General features: G+C 38.2%; 1 protein-coding gene across 4 annotated transcripts in view; it reads right to left on the minus strand.

Annotated features, from left to right (window-relative positions):
- P4HA1 (prolyl 4-hydroxylase subunit alpha 1) overlaps window positions 1-25,978 on the minus strand; it is an 89,650-nt gene that overhangs the window by 15,652 nt on the left and 48,020 nt on the right. For 2 of the 4 annotated variants that reach the window (NM_001142596.2, NM_000917.4), the window contains exons 8-10: window positions 24,057-24,233; window positions 21,019-21,089; window positions 7,403-7,502 (exon numbers count right to left, since the gene is read on the minus strand). In NM_001142596.2, coding sequence (NP_001136068.1) covers window positions 7,403-7,502; window positions 21,019-21,089; window positions 24,057-24,233 — 348 coding nt within the window. Of the gene's footprint in view, window positions 1-7,402; window positions 7,503-21,018; window positions 21,090-22,112; window positions 22,184-24,056; window positions 24,234-25,978 lie in introns of all 4 variants that reach the window. The other 2 variants (NM_001017962.3, NM_001142595.2) reach the window with 1 other exon arrangement.

The following is a 25,978-nucleotide window of genomic DNA, read 5'->3' on the forward strand; positions in this document are numbered from 1 at the left end:
TTGATCAAGTGGAACAAAGGGTATCAGTGATTGAAGATGGAATTAATGAAATAAAGCAAGAAGACAAGTTTAGAGAAAAATGAGTAGAAAGAAACAAATAAAGCCTCCAAGAAATATGGGACTATCTAAAAAGACCAAATCTATGTTTGATTGGTGTACACCTGAAAGTGACGGGGAGAATGGAAACAGGCTGAAAAACACTATTCAGGAAATTATCCAGGAGAATTTCCCCAACCTAGCAAGGCAGGCCAACAGTCAAATTCAGAAATACAGAGAACACCACAAAGATACTTCTCGAGAAGAGCAACCACAAGACACGTAATTGTCAGATTCACCAAGGCTGAAATGAAGGAAAAAATCTTAAGGGCAGCCAGAGAGAAAGGTCGGGTTACCCACAAAGGGAGGCCCATCAGACTAACAGTGGATCTCTCTGCAGAAACCCTACAAGCAAGAAGAGAGTGGGGGCCAATATTCAACATTCTTAAAAAAAAGAATTTTCAACCCAGAATTTCATATCCAGCCAAACTAAGCTTTCTAAATAAAGGAGAAATAAAATCCTTTGCAGACAAGCAAATGCTGAGAGATTTTGTCACCACCAGGCCTGTCTTACAAGAGCTCCTGAAGGAAGCACTAAACATGGAAAGGAACAACTGGTACCAGCCACTGCAAAAACATGCCAAATTATAAAGACCATCGATGCTATGAAGAAACCGCATCAATTAACGAGCAAAATAACCAGCGAACATCATAATGACAGGATCAAATTCACATATAACAATATTAGCCTTAAATGTAAATGGGCTAAATGTCCCAATGAAAAGGCACAGACTGGCAAATTGGATAAAGAGTCAAGACCCATCAGGAGACACATCTCATGTGCAGAGACACACATAGGCTCAAAATAAAGGGATGGAGGAAGATCTACGAAGCAAATGGAAAGAAAAAAAAAAAAAAAAGCAGCGGCTGCAATCCTAGTCTCTGATCAAACAGACTTTAAACCAACACAGATCAAAAGAGACAAAGAAGGCCATTACGTAATGGTATAGGGATCAATTCAACAAGAAGTGCTAACTATTCTAAATATATATGCACCCAATACAGGGGCACCCAGATTCATAAGGCAAGTCCTTAGAGTCCTAAAAAGAGACTTAGACTCTCACACAATAATAATGAGAGACTTTAACACTCCACTGTCAATATGAGATCAACAAGACAGAAGGTTAACAAGAATATCCAGGACTGGAACTCAGCTCTGCACTAAGCAGACCATTATAATAGACATCTACAGAACTCTGTCCACCCCAAATCAACAGAATATACATTCTTCTCAGCACCACATCACACTTATTCTAAAACTGACCACATAATTGGAAGTAAAGCACTCCTCAGCAAATGTAAAAGAACAGAAATCACAACAAACTGTCTCTCAGACCACAGTGCAATCAAATTAGAACTCAGGATTAAGAAACTCACTCAAAACCACACAACTACATGGAAACTGAACAACCTGCTCCTGAATGACTACTGGGTAAATAACGAAATGAAGGCAGAAATAAACATGTTCTTTGAAACCAATGAGAACAAAGACACAACGTACCAGAATCTCTGGGACACATTTAAAGCAGTGTAGAGGAAAATTTATAGCACTAAATGCCCACAAGAGAAAGCAAGAAAGACCTAAAATCGACACCCTAACATCACAATTAAAAGAACAAGAGAAGCAAGAGCAAACAAATTCAAAAGCTAGCAGAAGGCAAGAAATAACTCAGATCAAAGCAGAACTGAAAGAGATACAGACATAAAAAACCCTTCAAAAAATCAATGAATCCAGGAGCTGGTTTTTTGAAAAGATCAACAAAATTGATAGACAGCTAGCAAGACTAATAAAGAAGAAAAGAGAGAATAATCAAATAGACACAGTAAAAAATGATAAAGGGGATATCACCACAGATCCCACAGAAATACAAACTACCATCAGAGAATACTATAAACACCTCTATGCAAATAAACTAGAAAATCTAGAAGAAATGGATAAATTCCTGGACACATACACCCAAGACCAAACCAGGAAGAAGTTGAATCTCTGAATAGAAAAATAACAGACTCTGAAATTGAGGCAATAACAGCCTACCAACTAAAAAAAGTTCAGGACCAGATGGATTCACAGCCGAATTCTATCAGAGGTACTAAGAGGAGCTGGTACCATTCCTTCTGAAACTATTCCAATCAACAGAAAAAGAGGGAATCCTCCCTAACTCATTTTATGAGGCCAGTATCATCCTGATACCAAAGCCTGGCAGAGACACAACAAAAAAAGAGAATTTTAGGCCAATATCGCTGATGAACATCGACGCAAAAATCCAACCGAATCCAGCAGCACATCAAAAAGCTTATCCACCACAATCAAGTCAGCTTCATCCCTGGGATGCAAGGCTGGTTCAACATACACAAATCAATAAACGTAATCCATCACATAAACAGAACCAATGACAAAAACCACATGATTATCTCAATAGATGCAGAAAAGGCCTTTGACAAAATTCAACAGCCCTTCATGCTGAAAATGCGGTAAACTAGGTATTGATGGAACATATCTCAAAATAATAAGAGCTATTTATGACAAACCCACAGCCAATATCATACTGAATGGGCAAAAACTGGAAGCACTGTTTGAAATCCGGCACAAGACAAGGATACCCTCCCTCACCACTCCTATTCAACATAGTGTTGGAAGTTCTGGCCAGGGCAATAAGGCAAGAGAAAGAAATAAAGGGTATTCAATTAGGAAAACAGGAAGTCAAATTGTCCCTGTTTGCAGATGACATGATTGTATATTTAGAAAACCCCATTGTCTCAGCCCAAAATCTCCTTAAGCTGATAAGCAACTTCAGCAAAGTCTCAGGATACAAAATCAATGTGCAAAAATCACAAGCATTCCTATATACCAATAACAGACAGAGAGCCAAATCATGAGTGAACTCCCATTCACAATTGCTACAAAGAGAATAAAATACCTAGGAATCCAACTTACAAGGGATGTGAAGAACCTCTTCAAGGAGAACTACAAACCACTGCTCAACGAAATAAAAGAGGACACAAATGGAAGAACATTCCATGCTCATGGATAGGAAGAATCAATATCGTGAAAATGGCCATACTGCCCAAGGTAATTTACAGATTCAATGCCATCCCCATCAAGCTACCAATGACTTTCTTCACAGAATTGGAAAAATCTACTTTAAAGTTCATATGGAACCAAAAAAGAGCCCACATAGCCAAGACAATCCTAAGCCAAAAGAACAAAGCTGGAGGCATCATGCTACCTGACTTCAAACTATACTACAAGGCTACAGTAACCAAAATAGCATAGTACTGGTACCAAAACAGAGACATAGACCAATAGAACAGAACAGAGGCCTCAGAAATAACAACACACATCTACAACCATCTGATCTTTGACGAACCTGACAAAAACAAGAAATGGGGAAAGGATTCCCTATTTAATAAACGGTGCTGGGAAAACTGGCTAGCCATATGTAGAAAGCTGAAACTGGATCCCTTCCTTACACTTTATATAACAATTAATTCAAGATGGATTAAAGACTTAAATGTTAGACCTAAAACCATAAAAACCCTAGAAGAAAACCTAGGCAATACCATTCAGGACATAGGCATGGGCAAGGACTTCATGACTAAAACACCAAAAGCAATGGCTACAAAAGCCAAAATATACAAGTGGGATCTAATTAAACTAAAGAGCTTCTGCATGGCAAAAGAAACTACCATCAGAGTGAACAGGCAACCTACAGAATGGGAGAAAATTTTTGCAATCTACCCATCTGACAAATGGCTGATATCCAGATCTACAAAGAACTTAAATTTACAAGAAAAAAACAACCCCATCAAAAAGTGGGCAAAGGATATGAACAGACACTTCTCAAAAGAAGACATTTATGCAGCCAACAGGCACATGAAAAAATGCTCATCATCACTGGTCATAAGAGAAATGCGAAGCAAAACCACAATGAGATACCATCTCATGCCAGTTAGAATGGCAATCATTAAAAAGTGAGGAAACAACAGATGCTGGAGAGGATGTGGAGAAATAGGAATGCTTTTACACTGTTGGTGGGAGTGTAAATTAGTTCAGCCATTGTGGAAGACAGTGTGGTGATTTCTCAAGGATCCAGAAGTAGAAATACCATTTGACCCAGCAATCCCATTACTGGGTAAATACCCAAAGGATTATAAATCATGCTACTATAAAGACACATATACACGTATGTTTACTGTGGCACTATTCACAATAGCAAAGACTTGGAACCAACCCAAATGTCCATCAATAATAGACTGGATTAAGAAAATGTGGCACATGTACACCATGGAATACCATGCAGCCATAAAAAAGGATGAGTTCATGTCCTTTGCAGGGACATGGATGAAGCTGGAAACCATCATTCTCAGCAAACTCTCACAAGGACAGAAAACCAAACACCACATGTTCTCACTCATAGGTGGAAATTGAACAATGAGAACACTTGGACACAGGGCAGGGAACATCACACACCGGGGCCTGTCGGAGGGTGGGGGGCTGGGGGAGGAATAGCATTAGGAGAAATACCTAATGTAAATGATGAGTTGATGGGTGCAGCAAACCAACATGGCACATGTATACCTATGTAACAAACCTGCACGTTGTGCACATGTACCCTAGAACTTAAAGTATAAAAAAAAAAAAAGGGAAGGAAGGAAGGAAAGAAGGGAGTCAGGGAGGGGGAGGGGGGAGGGAGAGAGGAAGGAAGGAAGTAAAGAAATAAAGAGGGTGGGAGGGAGGAAGAGAGAGAAGAAAGAAAGGAAAGGAGGGAAGGATGGATGCAGGGAGGGAGGGAAGGGAAGGAAGGAAGGAAGGAAGCAAGCAAACATGGAAGGAAGGAAATATGGAAGGAAGGAAGGGAGAGAGAGAGGAAGGAAGGGAGGGAGAGAGGAGGGGAGGGAGGGAGAGAGGGAGGGAGGGAGGGACAGAGGGAGGGAGGGAAGAATCAGAAATCATAGCCAGTGAAACCCAGGAAAACCATTAGGCAGGAATCAGGACGATACCTTATTCAGGTTTGCATTCCCAACATTTAGCACCACATGTATCAAAAATGTTGTTGGATGAATACTGAACAACAGTCAAACACTGAATAAACCTGGCAGGTGTGCATCACAGGGGAGGGCACAGTGTTACTGGACTCTGAGTGGGTTGCTGTTTTTCATGCCAAGTCATGATAGGATTCAGTGTGTTGGGTGAACACAGTTTTATGAATCTCACTTTTAAAAAACTGCAAGCGTTATAAATAAAAGCTTTCATAATTTTGAGATAGGAAAAAAAAACAGAAGAAAAGACCACGTGTTCTGACAAAGACGGAGTAGGATGGCATCAAACCGTGTCACTGTAAAACACACACACACACACACACACACACACACACACACACAAAATACATTTTTAAAACTTAATTAGAAAAAGGGAATTAACTGTCTTTAAGAATACATTTTGGTCTTCTGATAAATTAACAGTTTATTTATTTATTTATTTCTGAAACAGAGTTTTGCTCTCGTTGCCCAGGCTGGAGTGCAATGGCGCAATCTCAGCTCACCGCAACCTCCACCTCCTGGGTTCAAGCAATTCTCCTACCTCAGCCTGCCGAGTAGCTGGAATTACAGTCATGTGCCACCACGCCCAGCTAATTTTTTTGTATTTTTTAGTAGAGACGGGGTTTCTCCATGTTGGTCAGGCTGGTCTCGAACTCCTGACTTCAGGTGATCCACCTGGCTCGGCCTCCCAAAATGCTGGGATTACAGGCATGAGCCACCAGACCCGGACAACAGTTTATTATTTAAAGTTGAAAAGAGGCCAGACACAGTGGCTCATGCCTGTAATCCCAACACTTTGGGAGGCCAAGGCAGGCAGATCACTTGAGGCCAGGAGTTCAAGACCAGCCTGGCCAACATGGTGAAACCCCATCTCTACTAAAAATACAAAAATTAGCTAGCCGTGGCGGCATGTGCCTGTGGTCCCAGCTACCTGGGAGGCTGAGGCAGGAGAATCACTTGAGCCCAGGAAGCAGAGGTCGCACTGATCCAAGATTGCACCACTGCACTCCAGTGAGACTGTCTCAAAAAGAAAAAGAAAGGTTGAAAAGAAGCAAAAGTATCACCTTTCTAATGAATTTATGAGCTGCATATTGACTGCATCTGTCTTAGAATTTTGCAACCAGGCCAGGCACAGTGCCTCACGCCTGTGTAATCCCAGCACTTTGGGAGGCCAAGGCAGGTGGATCACTTGAGGTCAGGAGTTCAAGAGCAGCCTGGCCAACATGGTGAAACCCCGTCTCTACTAAAAATACAAAATTAGCTCAGTGTGGTGGCGCATGCCTGTAATCCCAGCTACTTGGGAGGCTGAGGCAGGAGAATCGCTTGAACCAGGAGACAGGGGTTGTAGTGAGTCGAGATCATGTCACTGCACTCCAGCTTGGGCCACAGAGCCAGACTCAGACTCCATCTCAAAAAAAAAAAAAAAAAAAAAATTGCAACCAGAAAGGCTAAAATAAAGGCATTGGTTTTTTTAGTGCACATTTTGATAACTTCAAAAAAAAAATCTAATACAGAAAAGGGAACTCAAATATTTTAAAAAGTATTTTTCTACAGGAAAAGACTAAGGAATAGTAAATAACGCTGACAAAGGGGAAGACTAAGCTGTTTCTTTTCTCTGGTTTATAGGCCTATGCTTAGTTTTTTTTTTTTACTATTGAAACCAAGTGAGATTATTATACATGGATTTTATGTTTATTCCCTATAACTAACATTCCTATATATACCTGTTTACTACAGATATTTTGAGTCAAGTTGTGATTATGACGGAGTGAAGAAGAATTATTTTGGGACAGCTACTTTTGATGACAAATGATTTATAGACATAAAAGTAACAGAAAAAGAGAAGTGATGAAAAAAGTCCTATGTTTCACTATTACAAATAAAGGAAAACTGTTTGCTTAAAAATAAATAAATAAAAAGGAAAAAAACCCACTATTTTTTAAAACCCACCCTGGCCACTTGACAGGCAAAGTGAGGCCTGGGGGATAGAAAAAAAATTACAGTGTACTTAGTAAGTATTAGTGATCTATATTTTTCATTTCCCTAGATAAGAGTTTTCATGTTTTGACAAGAAATTTAAAAGTCACAGAACAATCACAATTTTTCCCATTATTAAAATCACTTTGCATGGTTGCAGCTTACAGGGTCACTTTTTAAGGTCCCAAACTATCATGCAAATTGAGGACTGCCTGTTCAGTGTCAGGAAATCTCCTCTCAAGCATCTCCTGAAGTGTAAAAATGACTTAAGGATAATGTGATTACCTACCTGTAATTCCTCTGCTGTGGAAACATCTAGTCCTGTTAGATCTTGTATTCTCATATTAATTCGAGACACCACAGGATTTTCATAGCCAGAGAGCCAGGCACTAAGAATAAGAGGAATATTAGTTTTATTGATAATGTTTCATTACATGGAGACTAATAGCTGTTATTTTTAAAGCCATAATATTTAATATATAGGACAATAAACCTTTACTGAAGGCATTTAGTTCATTTTCTTGCTTAGTATCATCTTTATTAATGGATATTGTAATTTTTTTTAAATGTCACATTCTACTGTTAGAGGTTGGGAAGGAAAAAACTAATCAAATTTATTATAATGCTTATATGAAAACAGTTGGATTAATGTAAGGAGGCTATATTGAAAGCCACCTACATTGAGAACTTCAAAAAATTCTTTAAAAAACCATACCAAACAAAACAACGTTCTTTCCAGGTAAGGTATAGGAACTGACTATGGTGGAAGTCATGGGGTCTTTAGTCTGAGCTACATAATGCTAATATTTTATAAGAAAAAAATTCTGCTTACTGCTTAAGTTTTGAAAAGTTACCCAAACACACCTACTGAAGGATGGACAATAACAGGTGTTGGTAAGGATGTGAAGAAACTGGAGCCCTCATACATTGCTAATGGGAATGTAAAAGGGGCAGCCACTTTGGAAAACAGTTTGGTAGTTGCTCAAAATGCTAAACACAGTTATCAAATGACCCAGCAATTTACTTCTAGGTATATATCCAAGAGAAATTAAATCTTATGTCCATACAATAACTTGTACAGAATTTTTTATGGCATCATTACATATAATAGCCAAAAAGTAGAAACTACCCAAATATCCATCAATTTATCAATGGATACATAAAACGTGATAGATCTATAAACTGGAATATTATTGTGTCACAAAAAGGAATAAAGTACTGGCCAGGCACAGTGGCTCATGCCTGTAATCCCAGCACTTTGGGAGGCTGAGGTGGAAAGGTCTCTTGAGGCCAGGAGTTTGAGACCAGCCTGGGCAATACAGTGAGACCCCAACTCTACAAAACATTTAAAAAATTAGCTGGGCATGGTGGCATGCACCTGTAATTCCAGCTACTCTGGCAGCTGAAGCAAGAGAGCCGCTTGAGCATGGGAGTTTGAGGCTGCAGTGAATTATGATCACACCACTGCACTCCAACCTGGGTGACAGAGTGAGACCCTGTCTCTACATACATGCTACAACATGGATGGAACATCATATTAAGTCAAAGAAGCCAGATACAAAGGCCACATGTTATATAATGCCACTTCTATGAAATATACAGAATAGACAAATCAATAGATAATAGAAAATAGATTAGTGGTTGCCAGGGGATGGGGATGGGGCTGGGGGGAATGGGAAATGACTCCTAATGGGTACAGGATTTTTTTTGAGTGACAAAAATGTTCTGGAACTAGACATTGGTTATAGTTGCACAAGGCTAAAAACCACTGAAATGCATACTTTAAAAGCGTGAATTTTATGATACGGGAACTATATCTCAATTTTAAATGGTACTCCCAAATTCAGCTATATCCCTTTTTCACATATGCTTTTAAGCAGTCAATCAGTCCTTCGCTTTCTTCACTTCTCCTCTCACTGAGCTTTGATTCCATAGTTCATCATTTTAACATTCTTTCTAAACGCCTAAACTCAACTGTCTGGCAAAAACAATCCTGGATCAATCTCTTTTATCTAAGCGTATATCTCTGTCACCAAACCCTACTGGAGAAAGTCATGAAATAGGGCAGATATGTTCCACTAAAAATTCATGAATACCAACTTCAAATGGGCTCTTCACTTTACTTCCTCTTCCACTCTGTACCCTAACTCACTTCAGCCTCTCCCTTCACTCAGTAGATAATGTATTTCCTACTTCATAGAGCAAATAAACGCCTTTACAATTAAAAATGATTTCCCCAAATCTGTACATCCCTCCAGTTACCAATCTTTCTTTTCCCTCTTCAAGCTAACTTTGTCAGATTCCTAATCTCTGAACCCACTGTAATCTAGCTTTAGTCACTTATATCACTCCCTCAAAATTGCTCTTGCTAATCTTACCCACAGCCCTATTGTGCTTCTAAATCTAATGACATTTTTCAATTCTCATTGTATTTGTTCCTTTGGTAACATTTGTGACAATACTCATCCTTTTGGAAACTCTCTCAAACACTCATTCTCCAGGAATTCCTCTAGTATCTCAGGCTGCTTTTTCTTGGTCTCCTAATTTACAGCCTCCAACACTATATTCTGCCTCCCTCTCAGGACAGCAGCAACATTTCCTCAAGAACGTATTTCCTCTAGGCCTAAGGCTAGTGCGTATGCTCTTCTCTCTGCCCAGAATATTCTTTTTCACTTTGCAAAATTAAGACTCTGGATATCACCTTAGTTACCACTTCTTTAGAGAAGCTTTCCTTTACCTCTCCCGCTGCCAGACGAAGCCAAAGCTTCCACAGACAGACAAAGGAAGCGAGCAAGCGTAAGAGAGAGAGCAAGAGAGAGTGTGTGGGTTTTTCTTTAACAAGAGAAAGACATGGAGAAGAAAGAAGTTTTTACTAATCATTACCAACATGAAACTAACATGACAAACAGGGTGGATTCTTAGATTTATCCTATATTACTAAAATTATTTGCTTGGTGATATCTTGCAAATTTTTTGGGACTGGCTGAGTATTACAGAATTCCTCAGTGTAGCAAAAATGGGAAGAATCAAAGTGTTATTGTTGTAAAGAATATAGCTGATTAAGTATATTAAGAATTTTTTTCTTCTAATTCTGCCCAAGTTCCTGGTAGAACTAATCTGGTATATGTCAATGTACCTGTCTTTCCTGCCTAGCACAATTTGATGGATGTCTGAACTTTATAAGCAACCAACCAACTACTGACTTGATTTTTACAGGTAATTGCAATGCTAAATTGGAAAGCATTCTAATAAAGCTTCGAACTAAATGCCTCATGAACAAACTGTTCCTATTCCATCCTGGAACCTATCACCCACAGAGAACGTGTCTTCTGATATCTTCAACTTCCCTCCCTGCTACCAACAACTTTTAAATATCTAGTCTTATCTTTTCCTCTTGTACTTTGGTAGAATCATCGTCCTTCAGCCTTATAGAGGCAGACTTTCTATCTATGCTTTTGATTCTATGCTTTCTAACTCTAGATGCCTTACTCCAGCAGTTATTGCCTCCCTTTTATCTTTAATCTCCTCCTTGTCAATGCTTGCTTATTGAAGTCTCCTGCTACCAAGAAAAATACCTTCACTTTAGCCATTCTAGCAAATTACCACTCCAGTCTTTCACTTTACTCCTTTAAAACTGCAAAAGTAAGAAATGCTTGTTACATTCCACAAATGGTCATGGGACACTGGTTATCTACATGCAAAGAAAGAAGCTGGACCTCTGCTTCACATTATATTAAAACGAATTACTCAAGATGGATCAAAGACCTAAATGTAAAAGCTAAAATTATAAAAACTGTGGGAAGAAAACACAGGAGCAAATCTTTGTGACGTTGGACGAAGCAATGGTTTAGCTATGACATCAAAAGTACAGGCAACAAAAGGAATAAATAAATGGGACATTATCCAAATAAAAACCTTTTATGCTTCAAAGAATAACATCAGGAAAGTTAAACAGGATGGGCACAGTGTCTCAAATCTGTAATCCCAGCACTTTGGGAAGCCAAGGCAGGAAAATCACTTGAGTTCAAGACCAGTCTCGGCAACCTAGCAAGACCCTGTCTCCACAAAAAAAGTTTAAAAATTAGCCAGGCATGGTAGCGTGTGCCTGTGTAGTCCTAGCTACTCATAAGGCTGAAGCGGAAGGATTACTTAAGCCCAGGAGTTCAAGGATGCAGGGAGCTACAATCACACCACTGCACTCCAGCCTGGGCCCCAGAATGAGAACCTATCTCTAAAAAAATAAAAATTTGTGGTAAAATACATGTAACATAAAATTAGCCATTTAGACTATTTTTTAAATTATGGTAAAATATATATAACAGCAATTTTACCATTTTAATTAAGTGTACAATTCACTGGTGTTAAGTACATTTACAATACCTTACAACCATCAGCACTATCCATTTCCAGAACTTTTTCATCAAAACCAAACAGAAAACTGTACCCACTGAACAACAACTCCCATCTCTCCCTCCTCACAACCCCTGGTAATCCTCTATTCTACGTTCTGTCTGTATGGATTTGCCTATTCTAGGTATCTCCTGTAAGAAGAATCATATAATATTTGTCAATTCTAGCTTATTTCACTTAACATGTGTGTGTGGTTTTTTTTTTTTTTTTTGGAGACAGGGTCTCAACTCCAGTTGCCCAGGCTGGAGTGCAGTGATGCAATCTTGGCTCACTGCAGCCTCAACCTTCCGGGCTCAGGTGACTCTTCCACCTCAGCCTCCCAAGTAGCTGGGACTACAGGCATGCACCACCATAGTTTTTTGTATTTTTAGTAGAGACGGGGTTTCATCATGGTGACCAGGCTGGTGTCAAACTCCTGGACTCAGGCAATCTGCCTGCCTCAGCCTCCCAAAGTGCTGAGATTACAGGTGTGAGCCACCACACCCAGCCAAAATAATGTTTTCAAGGTTCATCCATGTTATAAGCAGGGTATCAGAAATTCATTTCCTTTTTTAAGGCTGAATAATATTCTATTATCTATATATACCACATGTTTATCCATTCATTTGTTGATGGACATTTGGGTTGCTTCTAACCTTGGGCTATAGTGAATAAATGCTGTTATGAACATAGGTGTGCAAGTATATGACTCCTTGCTTTAAATTATTTTGGGTATGTACCTAGAAGTAGAATTGCTAGATCACATGGTAACCCTAAACTTTTTGAGGAGCTGGCAGACTATATTCCACAGCAGTGACACCACTTTATATTCCCATCCCTCACTGCCTTTTAAACTACTGCTTTTAGAAAAAAAAAAAAAATCTAATAACCTCCCAGCACTTTGGGAAGCCAAGGTGGGAGGATCGTTTGGGGATAGGAGTTGAAGACCAGTCTGGGAAACATAGCAAGACCCCGTCTTTACAAAAAAAATTAAAATAAATTAATGAGCAAGGTGTGGTGGCACAGGTTTATAGTTTCAGCTACTTAGAGGCTGAGGCAGGAGGATTGCTTGAGCCCAGGAGTTCGAGGTTGCTATGCCCACACCACTACACTCCAGCCTTGGCAACAGAATGAGACCTCATCTCTTAAAAAAACAACAGAACACCACCACAAACTTTTAATTCCAGGAATGGCCATGAAAGTCTACCAATTAAGTACTGGTTAAATAATAGGTTATTTCTAATTTTTCTCTGTTATAAACAATATTGTAACAAAATGCTATATCTTTGCACACTTGTGGGAGTATCTCTGTACGATAAATTCCTAGATGTGGAATTGCTAAATGACTTTTACATTTTGATAAATGTCAAATTTCCCTCCAAAACAGTTGCAATGATTTACACCTACCCATTTCATAAAACCCTTGCCAGTTTCAATCCTTTTATTCTTTGTCAATCTTAGCAAGGCAAAAATATTTTAATGGTTTAAATTTTTTAAGTTTTTATTTGCATTTCTTGTTATATCATAACATATCTCGGCCAGGCGCAGTGGCTCACGCCTGTAATCCCAGCACTTTGGGAGACTGAGGCGGGTGGATCTCTTGAGGTCAGGAGTTCGAGACCAGCCTGACCAACGTGGTGAAACCCCGCCTCCACTAAAAATACAAAATTAGCCAGGTGTGAAGGTGCACACCTGTAACTTCAGCTACTTGGGAGGCTGAGGCAGAAGAATCTCTTGAACCAGGAGGCAGAGGTTGCAGTGAGCCGAGATCACGCCATTGCACTCGAGTCTGGGCAACAAGAGCAAAACTCCGTCTCAAAAAAAAAAAAAAAAATCTTGATGAAGGGTTTGAGGCTTAGCAGTTAAAACCAATGTTGATTGTAGGTTAAAAAAAAAATAACTGTCAAACTGTCATCTTAATTGTAGTTCTGTTGTAGTCACTACAGAGGAAAATGAATTCTACTGATGCATGGGAAGTTATTTCATTTAATTTGACTTTCATGTAAAATCCCCTCCAAAATATAGTAACACTCCCTTTTTTTTTGAGATGGAGTCTGGTTCTGTCACCCAGGCTAGAGTGCAATGACGCTATCTCGACTCACTGCAACTTCTACCTCCCGGGCTCAAGCAATCCTCCCACCTCAGCCTCCGGAGTAACTGGAACTACAAGCATGCACCACCACGCCCGGCTAATTTTTGTATTTTTTTGTAGAGATGAGGTTTCACCATGTTGCCCAGGCTGGTCTCAAACTCCTGAGCTCAAGCAATCTACCTGCCTTGACCTCCCAAAGTGCTGGAATTACAGGTGTGAGCCGTCACACCTGGCCCAAAATACATTAAGACTTTCCTTAGTTTAAGAACTATCTTCAAGTTACTCATCTGGATCCCATCCTTAACAATTACTGCTAATCTGTCTTCAGTGACATTATTATAGACATAATAGGTTATCTAAAAACTCAGCTCTGAATTTACATTGTAACATTACTAAAATTCAGTGGAGACCATTATACTGTAATGTATGTTAACTGTCCATTCTTCTAGGACCTGGAAGTCTTATTCCTGTGTTAGATTAAATCATAAGAAATCCAGAGGTTTTGCTTTCTAGTACCCAGTGCTTTAACTGAGTTGGGATTTTTTTTTAATGTTATAGCATTTAATAGGAAAAATCATTTGAAGATCATTTATCTTTTGTATAACTGTAATTGAAAATGTCAACTAATTATACAGTGTTTTTCCCCATAAAACACAATTTAGTGCCAGGAGAAAAAAGAACTATTTCTTCAGATAACTTTATATGTGTCCTTTTTTTTCCATTAAAAATTAAATAGCCCAAAGTATGTTCCTTTTGGCCTTAATGACAGGACCTGAAGCCAAAGCTGTGCATTCAATTAGAGTAACATTTCTATGCTTTTTTCCTTTCTACTGAGTTTCCGCTGTTAAAAAAAAAAAAAAAAAACTTCATGATTTTGTAAAATACCACTAGAATGCGCAGAGTAAGGGAGCAACATTCTCACACTGCAAAACTACACTTCTAATATGTGAGTAAGGAAAGCTCCAAAGAAAAATGTCAGTAATGTAATTTGAACATGATCACTACCTTCTTCTAACCCGACACACACATAAGAATATTCTATGATTAGCTAATCGAAAACCACTATATATATATATATATATATATATATATATATATATATATATATATTTTTTTTTTTTTTTTTTTACAAAGGCAAAAGATAAGTCACACCCCAAAGTGCCAGTTACAGAGGACAAAATTTCCAATAATTCTTCTCTAGGTGCTTGATGGTTAACAAAGGCTAATAATCTAGACTGGGAATTTATCCAGTCCCTTTGCTTCATAGTGGGATAATTATGCAATAACACTATACATCCACTCATTTCAGTTATCTCAGTCTGAGTACCACAGTTCAACCCATTACAGAGCAGTGTTGTTAAAAGTTATGCCATTAAAAAAAATAAAAAAGCTGAACCACTCAAAACTTTTTGTATTTGTTTATATATATTATACTTTAATACTAATTTGCTCCTTAGTAACAAGGGTAAACAAAATCTTAAGCCTAAATAACATATTTATGATATATTTAAGGCCAGACATGGTGGCTCATGCCTGTAATCCCAGCACTTTGGGAGGCCAAGGTGAGATGATCACTTGAGCCCAGGAGTTCAAGACCAGCCTGGGCAACAAAGCAAAACCGCATCTCTACAAAAATACAAAACTTAGCTGGGCATGGTGGTGTGCACCCGTAGCCCCAGTTACTCAGGAGGCTGAGGTGGGAGGATTGCTTGAGCCTGGGAGGTGGAGGCTGTAGTGAGCCATGACTGTGCCACTGCACTCCAGCCTGGGCGACAGAGTGAGACCCTGTCTCCGAAAGAAAATAAAGTAAAATAAAATAAATAAATAAATACACACATATACATATATATCATGTTACATTCATGATATCATAAATACCGTATTGTAGGAAATCATCACTTCAGAGTAAAAAAATGAAAATCACTTTCCCACCAGAATCAAAAAAGCTTTTCTACCACTCTAAACAGATTATTGTTTATTTGCATAGGTCATTATTTATATTACTTTAACTAGACTTTATGAGTTCACTTAACTATCTTTTCAGAGCACAAAACTGAATGTTTACATTTCAAAAACTTCAAATTCCATTTCTCTGATCTACCCAAAATTATTAGCTTTTTCATTTACAAGCTGTAGTAAATTCTTAGGGTTTTTATTTGCTTTTTTTTTTTTTTTTTTTTTTGAGACGGAGTCTCGCTCTGTCGCCCAGGCTGGAGTGCAGTGGCGGGATCTCGGCTCACTGCAAGCTCCGCCTCCCGGGTTCACGCCATTCTCCTGCCTCAGCCTCCCAAGTAGCTGGGACTACAGGCGCCCGCCACTACGCCCGGCTAATTTTTTGTATTTTTAGTAGAGACGAGGTTTCACCGTTTTAGCCGGGATGGTCTCGATCTCCTGACCTCGTGATCCGCCCGCCTCGGCCTCCCAAAGTGCTGGGATTACAGGCGTGAGCCACCGTGCCCGGCCTTTATTTGCTTTTTAATAGTGGAAAAGACAGAGATGACTTGCCAAAAGTTAACAGATTGTCAGTAACATAAGTAAAGCCTTTTTTGGCTGGATGCAATGGCTCGCGCCTGTAATACCAATACTCTGGGAGGATCACTTGAGCCCGGGAGTTTGAGACCAGCCTAGGCAATATAGTGAAACCCTGTCTCTACAAAATAAAAAATTAAAAATTATCCAAGCATGGTGGTGAGCACCTGTATTCCCAGCTACTCGGGAGACTGAGGTAGGAAGATCACTTCTGCCCAGGAGTTGGAAGGAGCAGTGAGCTATGATCATGCCACTGGACTTAGGCCTAGATGACAGAGCAAGACCCTGCCTCTTAAAAAAAAAAAAGCCTTTTTTGTTTTATGGGTTTGTTTGTTTTTTGAGTCTCGCTCTGTTGCCCAGGCTGGAGTGCAGTGGCGCAATTTCAGCTCACTGCAAGCTCTGCCTCCTGGGTTCCTGCCGTTCTCCTGCCTCAGCCTCCCCAGTAGTTGGGACCACAGGCACCCGCCACCATGCCCGGCTAATTTTTTTGTATTTTTAGTAGAGATGGGGTTTCACTGTGTTAGCCAGAACGGTCTCGATCTCCTGACCTCGGGATCTGCCCGCCTGGGCCTCCCAAAGTGCTAGGATTACAGGCGTGAGCCACCATGCCCCGCCTGTTTTATGTTTTTTAAATACTAAAGGAGTTCCAAAAATATTTTGCCAAAAAAATTCTATTTGCTGAAATGCTGGAACAAATTATTACTTCCACTGAAAGTGATGTCATCGCTTAGACAGTTCTCTAAATACAGATATTTGAAATTCCTTTCTAAATCATTCAAAATACAGATGTTCCCAGGCTACAAGGGATTAAATTAACTGACATCAGAACACGAATTTTCTTCCATTTGGCAACTGAGATGGCCTTTTTTTTTTTTTTTTTTTTTTTTGAGACAGAGTTTTTGCTCTGTCACCCAGCCTGGAGTGCAGTGGTGCAATCTCAGCTCACTGCAATCTCTGCTTCCCAGGCTCAAGTGATCTACCCACCTAAGCCTCCTGGGTAGCTGGGACTACAGACGTGCACCATCACTCTCAGCTAATTTTTTTCTTAATTTTTTGTAAATAGAGACAAGGTCTAGCTATACTATCCAGGCTGGTCTCAAGCTCCTGGGCTCAAACCATCCTCTCACCTCAGCCTCCCAAAGTGCTGATATTACAGGCATGAGCCACCATGCCCGGCCTTCTAATGCTAGTAGCTAAATACCTTCTGCTATCATTTATAATATGTAAGTATGGTTGTACCTTTCTCAAAAATCCAATAAAACTGCTTAAGAGCTACAAAGTTAGAATATTTAAAAAATAGGTTTGAAATGTTTAGCAATATTTAGTTTTTTTTTTTAAGTGTATAGATCACTTTCCTACAGTGATTTATTTTGATTTATTGGCAACAGTCCATTGACTGTGGGCTGGATATTTCTTCAAAAGGGTCATTGCATACATAGAAAATTTCCAAAAACAAACAGTCTTCCAAAACATCGAATTCATGAATTTTTTTTTTTTTTTTTTTGAGATGGATCTCTCTCTGTCGCCAGGCTGGAGTGCAGTGGCATGATCTCGGCTCACTGCAATCTCTACCTCCCGGGTTCAAGCCATTCTCCTGCCTCAGCCTCCCGAGTAGCTGGGATTACAGGCGCGCCACCACACCCAGCTAATTTTTGTATTTTTAGTAGAGATGGGGTTTTACCATGTTTGTGAGGATGGTCTTGATCTCCTGACCTTGTGATCCACCCACCTTGGCCTCCCAAAGTGCTGGGATTACAGGCGTGAGCCACCACTCCTGGCCGTAATTTTGTTTTATATGCTTCCTAGAAGCATGCAAATCTAGAGGATTTAGCTATTTACAAACTTTATGACAAAAAATGTGTAAAACCATGCAATAATCTGATAAAATCTGTTAACAGTTTAATTTTTATTTTTTTTAAAGAAGGGGTTTTTTGTAGATATGAATTAGGTTCTGTAATAGAATGGAAAATTAGCTTAATGTAAAAATCGGGTTAATTGCAATGTTCAGAAGCACTGTAAATCATATCTCAAAACATGTCTATGCAAATTAGTTTCTGCAAATCCTTACTATCTATTAGTGTTCCTTAAGGATAATTGCTCCTGTGATTAAAATGAAAATCATATTATGGCAAATTTAAATTTTCTTCATGTCTTCTAATGGGGTTCAGGACACTCAACCCCAAAATATGGCACTGTAGCATTTGAGCAGAAGCAGGTCTCTCTGACCTTCTCCCACTCTTTTCCCCTTAAGCAGGCTATAAAAGAATTGTCTAGGCCAGGCACGGGCTCATGCTTGTAATCCCAGCACTTTGGGAGGCCGAGGCAGGCGGGTCACGAGGTCAGGAGATCGAGACCATCCTGGCTAACACGGTGAAACCCATCTCTACTAAAAATACAAAAAATTAGCCGGGCAGCAGCGGGCGCCTGTAGTCCCAGGTACTCAGGAGGCTGAGGCAGAAGAATGGCATGAACCCAGGAGGCGGAGCTTGCAGTGAGCCAAGATTGCGCCACTGCACTCCAGCCTGGGGGCGACAGAGCAAGACTCCATCCCCCCCCCAAAAAAAAAAAAAAAGAATTCTCTGACCTTCCTCTAAAGTAGTATAAGACTTTCAATCCAGAAGTATCCTCTCTCTACCTGGAAGAAATGAACATCCTTATCCTGAGACACAGAGATACCAAGAGGTATGTGAACAAACAGGCTTTGCTAAGTTTCCCCCAGTTTATTACCATTAGATCATATCCCCTTTGTTCATCATACTTCTGTATGACTATCCACTCATCAAACCTAGCATAAAAATACACAGGTTTCCCTGTTTCTTTGGGTTCTCATTTTTTTCTATTTCTTTTCTCTTTTTTTTTTTGAGACAGGATCTTACTCTGTCACCCTGGCTGGAGTGCAGTGGCATGCTCATGGCTCACTGTGGCTCTCTGTAGCCTCAACCTCCTCAGGCTCAGGTGATCCTCCCACCTCAGCCTCCCAAGTAACTGGGTCTACAGGTACATGCCACCACACCTGGCTAATTTTTTTTGTATTTTTTGTAGAGTTGGGGTTTTAACATGTTGCTCAGGCTGCGGTCTTCATTTCTAAAGGCTTCTTGTCAAGTAAATTTTGTATTAAATAAATTTGTATGATTTTCTCTTGTTAATCTGTCTTTTGTTATAGGGGTCTCAGCTATGAAGCTAGTGATAGGCAAGAAAAAAAATTTTTCTCTCTTACTGGGGCAAAAGGGCAGGTGGTGTTATACAGCAGAGACAAGAAACCAAGACGTGTATAGTAACGTTTAAGGTTAATATATAAAAGGCATATGGTCCTGCCCAAAAAAGAAAAAGGAAATGCTGAATCAACACATTCGGTCCAGCCTAATCTTTTTCTTTTTGAAGACAGCAGTAATCTTCAAAATTTCTCTGAGTACCTCCTAAAATGCCTGTTAAAATCTATGTTTGCCTTTGCATAAATTTTTTAGTTGACAACTAAATTTTTTCATAATTTAGTTTCGAATGATTGAATTGTCATATTGAAAACGTTGGTAATTTCTAAAAAATGATTACTTTAAATGTATCCACTGGAATCTAAATACCATAATGATTTGATATCCACCATCATCCACTTAAAATATGTGAACAAAATATTTTTTAATACTTGGACATTTTACATCTTTTTTTTTTTTCTTGATGTTATAGTTTCATTCCATTCTTATCCTAGAACAGTTAATTCTCAACAGGGGTGGAGTCACTAGAGGTAGTGGTGGGGATTTTACCTATCAGGGGACATTTGACAATGTCTGGAGACATTTTTGATTGTCACAACTTAAGGAAGGGTGCTACTGGCATCCAGTGAACCACAGATGCTATTAAACATCCTACAAAGCTGAAGATAGCCCCCAAGAACAAGAATTATCTGACTCAAAATGTCAATAGTGCTATTGATAAGGTTAAGAAACCTTGTCCTACAGTGACACATTTTTATGCCTGAAAATCTTTTATTTATCACATTATACTTATCTATATTAAAAATATTTATACAATTAACAAAAATATGAATTTCCTAAAACAAAAAGCCTGTGTTAAAGACCTATAAAAAGGCTGTGTTAAAGATAGTATCTTCTGGATTGTTACTATAATTATTATTCACATTTGTTAATCTAAATAACATGACTAAACAATCATTATCAAGTATAAACAAGTGAAAATGTATTAAGATGTTCCTAATGAGATGGATGGGGCTTATGTTTGTTATATTTCATTAGTTATTGTGTCTGTGGATAAATATTCTACTTGTTAGAATAAAAATTCAGCACAAAGATATTTCTATTTTCATGAGAGCCGAGAAACCTTCACAAGTAGATGGAAAAGGAGTTCTATTGTAATACTGTCACCCAATTCTGTGAGCTCTAAGTTACACAGTGAGCTCTTTTTAAAAAACATTTTAGTGATCAATCAACTAATAACCTAATAAGATTATCTTTAAACACTGTTAAAAGCAAGGAACTTGCAAAGGCTTTGTTATAAAGGCACTTACTTACGCAATACCTGCAGCTACTAGGTGACCCTGAGATTTTTAAACCCCTGCTTTACTGCAGAGTCCAAAAGAGGCCTTGTTTAATGAAGGGAATTTGGGAACTTCTCTTAGTTCAATATGAGAACACATTTCACTTATCAAAGTTTGGGGAGCCTCAACAGACATTATGTAAGTTAATGTTACTTTGGAAAACCCCTATTAACTGCCCCATAACCATGTTTATTAGTCCGTCATGAAAACTCCAGCACAGATATTATCAAACATCTATGCCTAACCACCTAGGTCTTAGAAACTATATCATGAGTTTTCAGAAAATTAGATTCCCAAGAAAGAAATGGTCCAAATATGACTAAAGTTCTCTCCATTACTCCCTTACCTCTTAGATACTCTGTACTGTGCTGTGGTCAATTTTCCAGTCTCAGGGTCATGTACTGTAGCTCGGCTCAGCTACAAAAAAAGAGAAAGGACAAGGACTTACTCCAGTAGCAGGCAATTTTGGGCTTTTTGTTTGTTTTGTTTTGCCAAGCCACAGGTGATTGGAAGGGTTCAGATTGGTCTGGATGGTGGGTAATGGTCTCGAATCCACAAAAACATTTAGAAAAGTGGCAGTAAGAACAGCCACTTCCAAATCAAGAGAAAATGAGTTGACAGATTTTTGTTGTAGATTTATTGTCCTTTCACTTTTTTTAAACAAAAAATCATTTGAAGCTGTATGTAAATGATTTATAGCACTGGGTTTCACAGAAACTTTCTCAGATCTAGAAGTTATTTAAATATTTTGAAAAAAAATAGTAGACTCCTTAAATTCATTTTTCAAACCTCTCACTGAGATAAAACTGTTTTTAAATCTCTCTGGCAAAGTAAAAGGCAACTAAGTTTACAACTAATTTTTGGAAGACAGAGCTCAGAAGCGTAACTCTGTTCTTCCTACTGCCAACTTTTGAGTCAGCGAATTTTTTTAAATAAAAAACTCAAACAGGAGGAATACAGATTACTACATAATGACAATGTTATTTTACAAGATGTATGAACAAATGCCAACGTAATCACCATGAAGGAGGATATGAATCACCGCAGCATTTATGAATATGAGAAAACTGCATAGGTGAAGACTACTACTCCCAGATTCAGGAGGCTGCTGCTTTATTTCCCCCTTTGGCAACAAAAGGGAAAAAGAAAACAAGTATCAGGCCACTTCCTGGATATTTGACACCTGATCTGAAGAAAGATAAAAAGCATATTAATTCCCTAAAAATAACATACCAATTAAAGGTTAAAAACAGAACTTCTAGTGAAGGAGAAAGACCTGTGAAACACAAAGCAGTTTATCCATGCGTTATCCTGTTTATATACAGGGTGGTGACTTGAGCTGGTGACTGAAAATGACCCACTTTCCTTAAATGAATAATTCCTGTAAGATGTATAAAACACTCATTAGAGGGCAAAATATGCAGCATACACATCTCTTACCTTTTGCTAATTCTGTAATGTACCGTCTCCAAGTCTCCTGTTATTGGGTTTGAAATGGTGGCTCGCCTCAGCTGTGAAGCCAACCATCAAAATAGTTGCATTACAAAACAAAAAACTGAATCACATTTACCCAACCAGTCAGAATTCCAGGGTTTTTACAAAGGAGGCTAAAAAGAGAAAATAACTCCATACACTTCCAGTCACCTTGTGCTGAGCCTTGAAAGCCAGTTAGTTTTTTAGGTTTTTGGGGTTTTTTTTTTTTCTTCAATTTTTTGTTTTGCATAGATGGAGGACATACAAACAAAAGAGATTGGAAATTAAATTTCTTTCAATGGTGAAAGGACATGACAGTAAGAAAAAGAGACATATCTAAAATTTGAAGTCTAATTTACAGTTAAAATAGCCATCTGGGGGTGGGGAGAGAAGGGGAAAAAAAGAAGAATGCCTATTTGCAATTAATGATCCATTCCAAAACCTTTGACTTTAATTTTTTTTAGTGATGGAACTGTTTGCACAGGTTAATGTTTAAAATTCATTTTAAGGTCAATCTTTTGTCCCTTCAAGATAGCCACTCTCATTAACATATACAGTGAAATAATCTTGGACTGAGAACAAAGGCAGAGGAAAAGAGCTCATAAATGTTAAAAACAGCAAGAAAGAGGTGACCGCCTAGATAATAATTTCAATTTTTTTTAATGGAACGATGATTCTGAGGTTGTGAGAGCATGAAATTTTATTGCCATTAAATTTATTGATCAAAAACAATCCAAATTGAGGAATCTCCAGAATATAACTTGATCTCCAAGTTGAAATGAATTAATTACCTTGGATGGCACCAATAATATATATTAATGTTAGACCAGTCTTTTGCATTTATAATGTAATCTTTGGCCAAAAAAAAAAAAAACCACCAATTTGGAGAAGCAGAAAAACTCTAAAAGAAATTCTAACTTCATTTTGTAGTATAGATATCCAGATAATTCAAACCTTTGATATAATAAGGGTCAACAAACTATGGCCACAGACCAAATTCAGCCTGCTACCTGCCACTGGAAATAAAATTTTACTGTAATATAGCCACACTCTTTCATTTACATATTTTCTTTGGCTGCTTTTGCACTATAATGGCAGAACTAAATAGTCATGACAGAGATCATATGGCCTCCAAAGCCTAAAAAATATCTAATATTGACCTTTATGGAAAAAATCTGCCAACTCCTGTGTAAGACAGCAAAGCATGCCTAGAATTTATTCAACAATCTCTTTATGAAAGTGATGGCAGCTTGTATTTTACTATCAAGAAGACCAAATATGTTTTAAGAACAAGCTGATGGGGGAAAAGGCAAGAGCATAAAGGGTAGTCTTTTCCACATTCTCACTAAAGAGTTTTTATGCTCAACACTAAGCTTATAGATTGGGTTTACGTTAGATTCTTTTTCTTTTTAAGATAAATTCTGTGGGTTAAAGTCAGAAAACTATCACCATTTCAAATTAACATAATACTTGTGCCCAATTATATCTTTTTATAATAGTAACAATGTGCCTAAAAGGGAATAAAAATACTTCCACGGTATTCTTTCAGTAAAAATACAGAAGTGAAAAAGCTGGGCTTTGAGTAGCCTCTGAGATTAAAAGACTCCAAAATACAGAGAAAAGTTTATCAGGAAGACAGTGAAACACAAATTTGTTAATGGTGAATAAAAATCTCACAATAATTTTCATAATTCAGTGCTTAAAACCCAGTTAAGGGTACATTACTTGTGTTGATAACAAATGGAAAAACTGGCATAAACACAGCATCATTAGTAACTCCATTATGCTGAGGCAAAATATCTTTAAAAAATCTGTGGCATTATTCGTATATCAATTATCCTATTTTTTTACAAAGAAAAATTGATACAAAGGTACAGTAAATTGAGGAGAAAGAAAGAAAACATTATTTACCCTTGGTTTTGCTAGGTCTTTGACGATTTCAATTTCTGCATCAGAAATAATATCATGGAAGCGAATAATACGAGGCTTGTCCCATTCATCCTCCTGTTTAGCTGGAGCCAGAATAAATTTAGGATTACGGTTTCCATCATGGTAGCGGCAAAAGAGTTTTTTCTGTCTCCGAGGGGTCTAAACATAAAGTTAAGAATATGATGAATATATTACAGTAATAATACTTTTAATATCTATTCCTATGCAGATAAGAGACAATAATCATGCTTGCATATACAGAGTATCTCTGGAAAAACATACAAAAGAAGCAGTACTCTGCAAATATTTTGCCTCAAACAGGATGTTCAGAATTTTAAATACAGTATTAATGATTATTTTCTGGGTGAGAGAGGCGAGGTCTTAAATAAGGAGAAAGGTAGTGTATCTCTTTTAACCCTTCACTCATCAAAATAAAGTTCAAATGTTTAAATATGAAAAAAAAGCCATGTTTATGAAAATATTAAATGAATGCCTGGCATTGCTCTAAATGGCACAAAGTAACTGGAAAGCACCCAGAGACAAAAAGTTTCTAGAAGAAAAAAAAAACTAGGTTTTCCTAAATACCTCACAGTTAAATGCTTGTGGCAAAAAAAAAAAAAAAAAAAAAGGAATTTTTTTAAGGGCAAAATAAAAAATGGATAGCTCTGAAAAAGAAAAAATAAGTTATTAAACAAAGATCCCAGATGCTTTTATTAGGCAGTATAAAAATAGAGCAGTCAACAAAACAAATTCCCTTCAATCATCTATGTATTATATTAATAAGTTATTTTGTTGCCTACTTCTCTTAATTAAACAAGTATGTCAGGCCTGGCATGGTGGCTCATGCCTATAACCCCAGCACTTTGGGATGCTGAGGTAGGAGGATCACTTGAGCCCAAGGAGACCAAGATCAGCCTAGGTCACACAGCGAAATCTCGTCTCTACAAAAAATTTAAAAAATTAGCCGGACATGAGGGCACTTGCCTGTAGTCCCACATACTTGAGGGGCTGAAATGGGAGGACTGCTTAAGCCCAGGAGGTAGAGGTTGCAGTGAGCCATGATCATGCCACTACACTCCAGCCTGGGTGACAGAGCAAGAAGCTGTCTCAAAAAAACAAAACAAAACAAAAACAAGTATGTCACATAAGCAGGAATATGAGTAGTCTGTTTCAATTATTATACTAATAGTATACTAAAACAAATAATGATTCATGTTTATTCTCCATGCACTTTACCTAGAGTCAAATCCAAGGCTTTAATTTTTAGTAAGTCTTTTATATAATGATGAGATGAATGTAGCTATTCTGAGAAAAAGAATTTTTTGTTTTTGTTTTTGTTTAGACAAAGTCTTGCTCTGTTACCCAGGCTGCACTGCAATGCCTTGATCTCGGCTCACTGCAGCCTCTGCCTCCTGGGTTCAAGCAATTCTCCTGCCTCAGCCTCCCAAGTAGCTGAGATTACAGGCCCCTGCCACCATGCTCGGCTAACTTTTTGTATTTTTAGTAGAGATGGGGTTTCACCATGTTGGCCAGGCTGGTCTTGAACTCCTGACCTCAGGTGATCCACCCACCTTGGCCTCCCAAAGTGCTGAGATTACAGGCATGAGCCATCGTGCCTGGCAAGAATGTTCTTTTGATCTTAGGCAAAGTTGAGTATGTGTTACATTAACAAACCGGGAAATTAGCAGACTCTTTGTTTTATATCTACAGTTTTATTTTGTTCCTTAAGAGTTATTAAGAGCAATAAAAATTTCTGCTTACTGCGGAAATTTGAACACTAGATATTTGATATTACAAAACTTGTGAATTTTTAGGTGATAATGGTATTGTAGTTATTTTGAATTTGTATCTTTAAAAGATACATACTAAAATATTTAGTAATGAAACAGAAAAGAAAATGTTTA

Source organism: Homo sapiens, chromosome 10 (genome assembly GCF_000001405.40).
Source record: "Homo sapiens chromosome 10, GRCh38.p14 Primary Assembly".
In the NCBI taxonomy this organism is placed as follows: Eukaryota; Metazoa; Chordata; class Mammalia; order Primates; family Hominidae; genus Homo; species Homo sapiens.